Source organism: Homo sapiens, chromosome 3 (genome assembly GCF_000001405.40).
Source record: "Homo sapiens chromosome 3, GRCh38.p14 Primary Assembly".
Taxonomy (NCBI): domain Eukaryota; kingdom Metazoa; phylum Chordata; class Mammalia; order Primates; family Hominidae; genus Homo; species Homo sapiens.
Window position 1 is genome coordinate 83,442,495 of NC_000003.12, and position 11,736 is coordinate 83,454,230.

The following is an 11,736-nucleotide window of genomic DNA, read 5'->3' on the forward strand; positions in this document are numbered from 1 at the left end:
CACATGGAACATTCTCCAAGATAGGCCAGATGATAGGTCACAAAACAAGCCTCAAAATTTAAGAAAACTGAAAATATGTCAAGTATCCTCTCAGACTACAGTGGAATAAAAGTGGAAATTTACTCCAAAGGAAATCCTGAAAACTATACAAATACATGAATATTAAACAATGTACTCTTGAATGATCTTTGGATCAACAATAAAATCAAGATGAAACTGTAAAAATTATTTAAACTGAATAAGAGTGACACAACTTATCACAACCTCTGGGATATAGAAAAAGCAGTGCTAGCCTACATCAAAGAAACTGAAAGAGCACAAATAGATAACCTAAAGTCACACCTCAAGGAACTAGAGAAACAAGAACAAACCAAACCCAAACCCAGCAGAAGAAAAGAAGTAACAAAAATCAGAGTAGAACTAAATGAAATTGAAACAAAATAATACAAAATATAAATGAAACAAAAAGCTAGTTCGTCAAAAAGATAAATAAAATTCATAAACAACAGCATATAAAAAAGATAATATGCCAGGATCAAGTGAGTTTCATATCAGGGATGCAGGGTTTGTTTAACATATGCAAGTCAATAAATGTAATACATTAGATAAACAATTAAAAACAAAAACCATATGATCATCTCAATAGATGCAGAAAAAGCATTTAGTGAAATCCAGCATCCCTTTATGATTAAAACATCCAGCAAAATTGGCATTGAAAGAACTTACCTCAAGGTTAATAAAAGCCATTCATGGCAAACCCATGGCCAACATTATGCTGAATGAAGATAAGTTGAAGGCATTACACCTGAAAAATGGAAGAAAACAAGGATGCCCTGTTTCACTACACCTATTCAACATAGACCTGGAAGGCCTAGCAAGAGCAGTCACATAAGGGAAATAAATAAAAGGCATCCAAATTGGCAAAGAGGAAGTTAAATTGTCACTGTTTACTAATGATAAGATCATACTGAGAAAAATCCTAAAGACTCCTCCCAAAGACTCCTAAATCTGATAAATAAATTCAGTAAAGTTGCAGGATACAAAATCAATGTACACAAATCAGTAGCACTGCTATACATCAACAACAATCAAGCTCAGAATCAAATCAAGAAGTCATTCCCTTTACAACAGCTGCAAAAAATAAAATAAAATACTTAGGAATATACCCAAGCAAGGAAGTAAGAGATCTCTACAAAGAAAACTACAAAACATTGCTGAAAAAAATAATCTATGACACAAACAAGTGGAAACACATCCCATGCCCATGGATGGGTAGAATCAATATTGTGAAAATGACCACACTGTCAAAAACAATCTAAAGATTCAATGCAATTCTCATAAAACTACCATCATCACTCTTCACAGACATAGAAAAAAACAGTCTTAAAATTCATATGGAACATAAAAAAAAAGAACCCTCATAGCCAAAGCCAGACTAAGCCAGAACAAATCTGGAGGGAGGAATTGCATTACCCAACTTCAAATATACTGCAAGGCTATAGTTACCAAAACAGCATGGTACTGGTATATAAATTGGCACATAGACCAATGGAACAGAATGGATAACCAAGAAATAAAGCCAAATTTAGCCAAAGGATCTTCAATGAAGGAAACAATACCATAAAGTGGGTGCTGGGGTAATTGGCAAGCCACATGTAGAAGAATGAAACTGGATCCTCATCTCTCACCTTACCAAAAATCTACTCAAGATGGATCAAACACTTAAATCTAAGATCTAAATCCATAAAAATTCTAGAAGATAACATCAGAAAAACCCTTCTAGACATTGGCTTAGGCAGAGACTTCATGACCAAGAACCCAAAAGCAAGTACCACAAAAACAAAAATAAATAGTGTACATCCTCATTGTCTTCATGTTAAGTAGGCTGAGCAGAAGAGGAACAGAAGGGGATTGGTCCTCCTATCTCAAGGGTGGCAGAGATGGAAGAAAACTTATGTATAATGGGACTTGTGCAGCTCAAGCTTGTGTTGTTCAAGGATCAACTAAATATTATTTTGGTAATTAAATTTATGTTGAGTTTTATAGAATGATTCTCTCATCAGATAGTCATATTTTTTCTTTGTATTAATGTGTATATTTATTTCGTTGTTTTTATTGAAATAAGATTGCATTACTCAGTTAAGTCGTACTTGTTTATGAAGTTTTGAATATCTTGTAATTTTATGTATTTGATTCTTTATTATTATTTTTTAAATTTCAGATTCTATATTTGTGAGAGAAATGGTCCTGTTATCATCTTTTTATTGTGTACCTTTATTAGAGTTTTGGCATCAAGATTCTATGGGTCTCATAAAATAGTTGAAAAATTGTAATACATGGAAGAGTTATTAAAAACTACTACAATTTTTTTTTCTCTTAAATGAATGGATGAATTCAACCAACAAAACCATGTGGGCCTAGAGATTTTTTTGTGGGAAGGTTTTCAACTGAAAGTTTATTTTGCTTATTGGGTATGGACTATAGTGGATTTGTGTTTATTCTTGTGTTCATTTGGTAAGTTCTGTTTTATTATGAATTTTTATCTTTTTCATCTAAGTGTATTTAATAAGCTTTTTCATAGTATCTTCATTATCTGTTTAACATTTGACACATAGTTGATACTTCAGTGTCTACTAAGGAAGTTATTGATATACACTAATCTGAATATAACATTTCAGATTAATAACAAGTTCTTAAAAAAATAAATGAAAGGCAAAAATATACTGAAAAGTCTTGCTATTCTGAGATATAATCATATATGTAACTAGATCTTCAATTTTTCAAATTTTCCTATAAAATTTTACATGTTTTAATTTCTTTTTTTTTTTTATTATACTTTAAGTTTTAGGGTACATGTGCACATTGTGCAGGTTAGTTACATATGTATACATGTGCCGTGCTGGTGCACTGCACCCACTAACTCGTCATCTAGCATTAGGTATATCTCCCAATGCTATCCCTCCCCCCTACCCCCACCCCGCCACAGTCCCCAGAGTGTGATATTCCCCTTCCTGTGTCCATGTGATCTCATTGTTCAATTCCCACCTATGAGTGAGAACATGCGGTGTTTGGTTTTTTGTTCTTGCGATAGTTTACTGAGAATGATGGTTTCCAGTTTCATCCATGTCCCTACAAAGGACATGAACTCATCATTTTTTATGGCTGCATAGTATTCCATGGTGTATATGTGCCACATTTTCTTAATCCAGTCTATCATTATTGGACATTTGGGTTGGTTCCAAGTCTTTGCTATTGTGAATAATGCCGCAATAAACACATGAAAAAATGCTCATCACCACTGGCCATCAGAGAAATGCAAATCAAAACCACTATGAGATATCATCTCACACCAGTTAGAATGGCAATCATTAAAAAGTCAGGAAACAACAGGTGCTGGAGAGGATGTGGAGAAATAGGAACACTTTTACATGTTTTAATTTCTAAGATAATTGAGACACTTTGACTTTTGGCATCTTAAATCAAAGTTTATATGAAAAAAGAATGGCTTCTAAAAGATATTATTTATGTTTAGAATATTTTGATTTTAGCTTTAGCAAAATAACTATTTTATTAAATATCATATTTGATAGTTAATAATTATAGTTTATTAATAACTATCTTATTTTATCTAATTTAATTTCTCACCTTTTATTGTTACTTTATAAGAACATTTTAATTAATTAGAATGTTTTTATTGCTTGGAATCAACAGTTGTTTATAGTTTGTTAAAAAATTGAAAATATGAGCACATTTTGCATTGAATCACTGATGAATCATTAAAATTATAATGCTCCTAAATCATAGTATTATTACAAGAATTTATAAAGCAATTAGACATTATAGGTATTTCATATATATATTATATATTATATATATTATATATAACATATAATATTTTCCACCTCAAATGAGTATTCTGAAATTGGATCTTATTAATATTCAGATTAACCCAGGAAACTGAGTCTCAGCAGATTCTAACAGAATGGAGGGGCTATTAACCAAGATATGTTATTAAAACCTTTGAGAATATCCAAGCTCATTGCCCCCATGTAATGTATACTTCATAATTAATAGAGGCCAAAAGAGTGGTTTGAGATGGTGATACACCCTGTAGAATAGGCTCATTCTCTTCCTATGTGGTTTTCTCTTGTACACCAGCTTTGAAACACAAGTAATTAATTTTTTTTACCTCATTTCAGCAAAGTCACAAACTAGTATGAAAAGTCAGAAATTTTCTGTGTTTCCCAAAGATAGCTAAAACTATAATTGTGCAATCTTTGAATGACAACACTACATTCCAAATCCTATTTTATTTTCAGTATAATATGGAAAGAAAAATCTACTTTTATTAATAATTATTTGCATCTCAATGTATTCATGAATAAGCAGACTACTCCATATTAATATAATATTAACAACTTTATTATAGTTCATACAAAAGTAACAAATACATCAAAATATTCACAAAATATAAAATTTGTATATCTGTGTGTGTATTCATGTATTAATATTTTGGATGTTTCTCTGGAAAGAGGCATTAATCCTTGTCTTACTCTGAATTTAAATCTTCTTCTCTCTTTATGGTGACCAGAAGTCAAATTACATTAACAGGACAAGGAAAAAAAAAAAAAAAACTAGTGTGCATAGCTCTTTAAGAGCATCACATCAAATTAGCTGGGCTGTACTTTCAGTTGCCTATCAAATACATAACTTTTTTACAGTAAACTTGATATACCCTCTTGTGTACTAGAAGGCATAATTGCTTTTATAAATTGAAAAGATATTTCTAACTTCAAACCTCAATCAAAAATCTTTATCTTTACTTGAAACAGTCCCATCTCTCCCGATCCTGCTATCAGTTTCTTTAAATGTTGATATTAATAATATAGTTAGCATCGGGCAGTTAACTAGAGACAAGTATGAATATCTGCTACTGTGTGTATTACCATTTATCCTAGAATAGTTTACATTGATGTTTTATACTCATTTTAATTGCATCTTCACAGAAACTTTATGTAGCTGTCTCTGACTTATGAAAACCTGATTTACTGATGCCTCCACCCATAAATCATTGCTACTGCTGCTTCTTCTCTTTCTACTCACTCTTCGTGACCATAGTACCTTTTACCCTTTTACCACAACTATGGAGGCCATATAAAAGCTAGTCAAACAAACAAGAAAAAAAAAAAAACTAAACACTAAGCACAAAAAAATTCAAAAGATAAATAAAATGCTTTTAAAGAATCAGTGGTAAGAAGTGGAAAAAAACAATAAACAAGGAGAGAACATTGACAATATTTCTTAAATGGCGGTCACTAGTTCCACTTTTATCAGAATTCTCTCTTTCGATTGTTAAAATGCAGATTTCCAGGTTTTACCTCAGTTGTATTGAGTCAGATTCTCTAAGCTACACTACCAGAATGTATTAACATTTAAGTTAAAACTCCACTGATGTTGATTTAGAAAATGTAATAACTCAACTTGATAGACTCAGATGGGAGCCCATGAACCTGCATTTTAAACAATCATTTATTTTAATGAAGTTATTTATTCTGCAAACATTTTTTCTAATACTCCCCAGTAGAATCAGAGGACTGACAGGCTCGGAATCTTAATTTTTGAAATGAAAAAGTAATTTTAGGAAAATAGCGTTTAGGGGGTGATAATGCTAGCCTGGCTGAAATATTATGTGTGACGTTTGCCTGAGGTTACTTTGTCACTAAAAAGATGGATATTCAGACTTGGAATACTTGCATTAACCAAGGGTTGATGCATAAACAGTGTTAGTCTTCTTCTTAACTTTGGCTTGATGAGAAAATTAAAGATTCTTGTAATATTCTGATAAAAAATAGCCTCCTTTCCCAAGATGCTAGAATATTGTTTTTCACAAAAATGGAAAATTATTGTATTCCAAATGTAAAAACAGAACTTTGCAAGTGCACATTTCTAGGAGTTCTTGATCATGGGAATGACATTTTTAAAGCCCATGCAGAGATAGGGCTTGAGAATATAGGCTTTATGTGAGGGAAGGAGCTGGAGGTGGTTATTTGCATAAAGGAGAGAGTTGAAATACACTACTCTCTCATCCATAAATGGAAATCCATCTCTGGGTGGACAACCTTAAGAGTGCTATGGATAAGATTAGAACTTGTCTTATTTTCTACAGCTGTATACTGAATTACTCAAAAAGTTATTGGCTTAAAACAGCAGCAATAAATATCTCAGTTTCTAAGGGTCACGGACACACAAGTGTCTTAGCTGAATGGTCGTGGGCCTTGGTTTCTTAAGTGGTAACAAGTCAGAGTACATTCATCTGATGGCTTGCCTGGGTTGATAAATTCAATTTCTTTCTTTCCTTTTTTTTTCTTTTGAGACAGAATCTTGCTCTATTGCCCAGGCTGGAATACAGTGGCACCATCTTGGCTCACTGCAACCTCTGCCACCCGGGCTCAAGCAGTTCTCCTGCCTCAAGCCTCAAGAATAGCTGAGACTATAGATGTGTGTCACCACGCTTGGCTAATTTTTGTGTTTTTTAGTAGAGATGGGGTTTCACCATGTTGGCCAGGCTGGTCTTGAACTCCTGACTTCAGATGATCCCACCACCTCAGCCTCCCAAAGTTCTGGGATTACAGGCATGAGCTACTGCACCAGGCCAGGAATTCACTTCTAATCCACACATGCCTGGCAAGCTGAGCTGGTTATTGGCACAAAACCTCAGTTTCTCACTATGTCAATGTCTCCATGTTGGGCCTGTTGACATAGTGGCTCATTTTCTCTAGAACAAGTGATCCAAAAGATGACACAGTGGAAGCTGCAATGTCTTATGACCTATCATTGGAAGTCACATGCAATAATTCCCATGATAGCCTTTTGGGTAATATTTACTGTAAGCCCTATTCTGGGTTAGAAGAATGCACAGGATTTCAAGTGAATACAAGGAGGCAATGATTATTCAGGGATTATTTTAGGAGCTGACCAGTCCAGAACCCAAACTGTTTCACTATTCTTAGCAGATATAAAGCCTAAACTGAAGTTATCTATGTGTTACAGAAATTTCAGCCCACAGACTTTACTTATGGAGATACTAGTTCTAAGCCATTCCCCCTGAGGTAGTCAAACATGCAAGTTATGTAGTACAGCAAAAATACAGCTAGTAAAGGGAATGAGCACAACCTATGGGTTCTAGCCAAATAGGAGCCATTTTTGTTAGTTTGTTTATTTCCTAGTAATCCTTTAAAATTTATTCAATAGAAAGTGCATTAACCTTCCTGTGGCTAAACATTTGTTCACTTTCCATGAGATTTCTGATAAATCATAGGTAACAGAAAATTTTGCATTAGCCTTAAATAGCAAACATAATATTTTCTTTTTTTTAATGGCCAAAGCAGTTTACCAGCTTTTGGCATTTGAGATGAGGGGCACAAGGGAGATAGACGTGGAAAGACAGACTTTCTTCCCTGTCCTTGTTTTTAACTGCTATTACTCATTTATTGAAACACAGTAAGGATAAATGGTATTAGGAAAGGGATATCTTTCCTCAACCAGCATTCTTGCAAGCTGGGGAAATGTTTAAATCTCACCCTTTCTCTTATTCAAACTTGGATGATCTCTTCACAATAGTCCAATTACCTCCTGGATTGGATTTAAGAGAGCTCAGACCAACTCCCTGTTTTGTGTGGTCCACATCTGTTCTACATTAAAAACTCACACATTCTCTAGCCCATTATCTTGTAATATGAAGGTAGTTATTTCTTTAATGGAAAGCAATTCAACTTTGCTGTGATTTCCCCCAGACATCATGGATTGAACTTAGACTCCGGAGAACATTTCTGAAGTCCTCTGAGTAAGCTTCTTGAAGCACCCTTCACTAGACTAGAGGTAAGGAGTAGAAAAGAATCCCTGCCCCTTAGGAAGCTGAACCATATTTAGATTCATAGAAATTTGAAGACCCCTCCCAAAGTCTCCTCAAAATTGTCCTCTCCAATTTCACATTCTAGATTCTTTTACAGCCTCAATCTGTTATGGTGTACATGGACCAACGGTTATAAAATTGTATGTTAAAGGTTAAGCATACAACATCTGTTTAATTTCAAAACTCAGATCAAAATGCCCATGTTAAGGACTTTATCATAATATATTTGTCTGGCCTGAATGCCATCACCTGCCTTACTCTCATAATGTAAGAGATATCCAAAATATCCAAAGAGTCTCTCTCTCCTTTTTTTTAAATTCCAAGTTAGAATCTAGATTCCAAAGATAAGCCTTATTTGACTACAAGCCAGTGATCTCTGGTTACAGACTTTACTTCTGTTCTGGTTATTTCTGTCACTCTCTATTTTTTTGTTTTTATTTTAACTTCTAATGTCTTCTTTTTAGGATGATGAATGATTCAAAGTATAACTAATTGAGAAAAATATGTCAAAGAGGGTGAGTTCAAGATAATAGGGGAGAGGCATTGTAATTATTTCAAATATATTGTAAACATCACGTATTAGCCCATATTAAGGGCTTAACATTAACTATTAATATGCTTAGGGCTATCTTTCCTTAGATCTTTGCTTGGCTAATCTTTTCATCCTTTTCAAGTTTTTACTTAAATCTCACCTTGTAAATGAACTTGCTCTTAATAATTTAATACTGTAATCTTTCTCACACCTTCCCCATTTTTTACTCCTAGTATTTTATATGTTATTCTAGAATTTCCATGCAATATTTATCACCTTCTTATATACTATGTAGTTGATTTCTTTATTAGATCGTATATTATCTATATTGGGAGACTGTATATGCAAATAAACAATGGCCAGACCAAATATAAAAATAGAACACTGACTGACACCTGGCAGCAACCTGTCTAGGAAAACATCTCCTTATAATAAACAGCCCAGGAAGCCAGTCTGCTGTAAATCAGACTTGTAACAATTCAGACTCCTGTCTCCAGTAATGATCCAGGAAACAAAACAATAAATTTCATAGCAAACAGCCCAAAATGGTCACGACTTAATAACTGACAGTTTATGTAATTTTTATTCTGCTTCCAACTTAGGACCAACAAGAAAAGCCAAACATACATCCCTAATCAATCGCACAGAATGCCTGCTTCTCATTAACCCGCCTAGACCTCCCCATGCCCACCGCCTCCAATGAGGTAATACTTGAAGCCTTGCATTTTTTCCACTATAAATCTTTCCCTGTCTTCTGTCTGCCTTTGATTGTTTGCCAAAATGTAAGCGACAGAGGCTCTTTTACTATAGCAAGGTGTGAATAAATAACATTTAATTATTCTAATTTAGTTGGTTGGTCATCATTTATATTTATAGTATCCTTACCCTAAATCTCCTCACTTTCTGAACATGATGGTCAATTTTATGTGCCAATTAGTCTGGGTCATAGTGCCCAGATATTTATTTGGTCAAACATTATTCTAGATGTTTCTGTAAGGGTTTTTTGTTTTGTTTTTTGTTGTTGTTGTTGTTTTTGTTTTTAAATTAACTTTAAATCAGTGGATTTAAAGTAAAGTAGTTTGTCCTCCATAATGTTGCTGAAACTCATCCAATTAGTTAAAGGCCTTAATAGGACCAATGACTGCCCTATCCCAGAGTAAGAAAGAATTCAGGCTTGAATTACAACATCAGCCCTTCCCTGAGTCTCCAGCCTGTCAACCTATCTGGCCAATTTTGGACATGTCAACCTCCATAAGCCTCCTTTCTTTGTTTTAAATAACCAATTCCTTAAAATATATTTCTCTCTCTCTCTCTCTCTCTACACACACACACACACACACACACACACACACACACACACAATGAGTTCTGTTTCTTTAAAGAACCATGATTAATATACCAAATACAACAAATCAACCACCCTCCCAATCTGCCATGTTGGAATAAAGCTCCATGAAGGAAGGCTTTGGGTCACTTTTGTCCATTGAGTGTCTTACTCTATTTGAGCTGTTCTAACAAAGTATCGTAAACTAGATAGCTTCTCAACAACAAAAATGTTATCTCTAACAGTTTTTGAGGCTAAGAAGCTCAGTATTAAGGCACTGGTAAATTTGGTGTCTGGCGAGGGCCCACTTTCTTGTAAATGGCTCCTTCTCCCTGTGTCCTCACATGATTGAAGAGGCAAACAAGCTCCCTCAGGCCTATTTTATAAAAACACTAATCCCATTCCTGAGAGTGAAGCCCTCATCATCTGATCACCCCCTAAAACCTCACCTCTGAATACCCCAGGTGTTAGGATTTCCACATATAAATTTTGAGGGGATACATTCAGACCATGGCACTAATATATCCCAACTGGTTAATATTGTGTCTAGTATATCATAAATAGGTAATGCATAATGGTTGAATAAATATATAACAATCTTTCTGGACTATACAGTTTGGTGTTTTAGGTTTGCATCTGTCAAAGATGCTGAAGGAGGAGAAGAAAAAGAGAGAGATAAAAGAAAGAGAGAGATTACACCAGACAGCCTCTAAACTCCCTTTGATAACCAAGGTCTCATGAGTCCAAGAAATAATCAAATAAAAGCCACTGAATATTGCCTAGGCTTACCTCTGCTTTCTATTAAGCTACAAGCAAAATAAAAAGGAAACCAGCATCATACTTCTTATTAATGGAATTTCATGAGCACATTTCATCTCAATTTATATTTCATGGCATCCAGGTGCTAAGTGCAGTTTCAAGCATACTCTACTCTCCCATAAATTATACAGTAAATCATCACTTGGTAATGGGCACTTTATTTTTCATGCTGATTTCCTTAAGTGCTGCACTCTGAGGTCTCTCAGTCATGGCCATATGCTTTTCTTTACTTTCACATATTTGAATATAGAGCCATAGTGATAGCTCCAAGATTTTTTTTTACCCTTTTCTATAAACCGTGGGTTACTCAAAATTGTTCTTTCAGATTAAGAACAGAGTAGAAATCTTCTGCAGAAAACTAACATGAAGCACACTGTTTTTTATCCTTTTATCACCCCTGCTGAGAGTCATGTGAATAAGATTTTCCTGAAAAAGATGAAAAGAAAGTATGACAACTTTTGATTCAAAAATGCCTTGTAAAGTAGAAACATAGTTCAGGAAAAATGTATTTCAATTCCTAAGAACTTTGACACATTAAAATATGTGTTATTTTATTTGTTTTGCTTGGATTGGCTTTTGTTTTCTGTCACTCTTTTGAGTGTAGACAGACTGGATGTCAGTAGATATGGGATGAATGGTAAATTATGGTTGAAAAATAGACATTATTTAAAATTTCAATGCTATAGACTAATAAACTATTCTGTTCCCTCATATTCTTTACAAATATTCATCAAAATTAGTTCATTTCATTGTCACAACCAAATCCCTAGGCGATCCTGGGCTGCTGTCTGGGAAATGTTTCTCTTTGCTGCTAATTCCTTCTATTGTTTTTTGGCCTATTCCCAACTATTCAATTTTCCTTGCCTCAAACTTTTAGTTGTAATCATTTAGTTTTCTAACATTCTTCAAAACTACCTTAGAATAAAATATATTTTCCCCTTTAAAATTTTGTTACCTAATTTTCAAATCTCACATGTACCCATTATGTCTAGTTATGGATTGGCAGGACTTAAACTGTGAGAAGACAGAATGAAGGAATTATTACAACCCATGCTCTCTGGCTTTCTATATGATTTTTTTTCCTGTATTTTCTTTTTAATATACTTTTAATATTAAGCCAAAAATCAAAACAATTCTTAAGAGTAATTA

General features: G+C 34.0%; 1 long non-coding RNA gene across 1 annotated transcript in view; it reads left to right on the forward strand.

The window, feature by feature from the left end:
• LOC105377183 (uncharacterized) overlaps nt 1-9,167 on the forward strand; it is a 39,119-nt gene extending 29,952 nt beyond the window's left edge. The window contains exons 3-5 of the long non-coding RNA XR_941006.1: nt 7,794-7,878; nt 8,377-8,427; nt 9,047-9,167. This is a non-coding gene — a long non-coding RNA (uncharacterized LOC105377183). The remainder of the gene's footprint in view (nt 1-7,793; nt 7,879-8,376; nt 8,428-9,046) is intronic.
• The last annotated feature ends 2,569 nt before the right edge of the window (nt 9,168-11,736 follow it).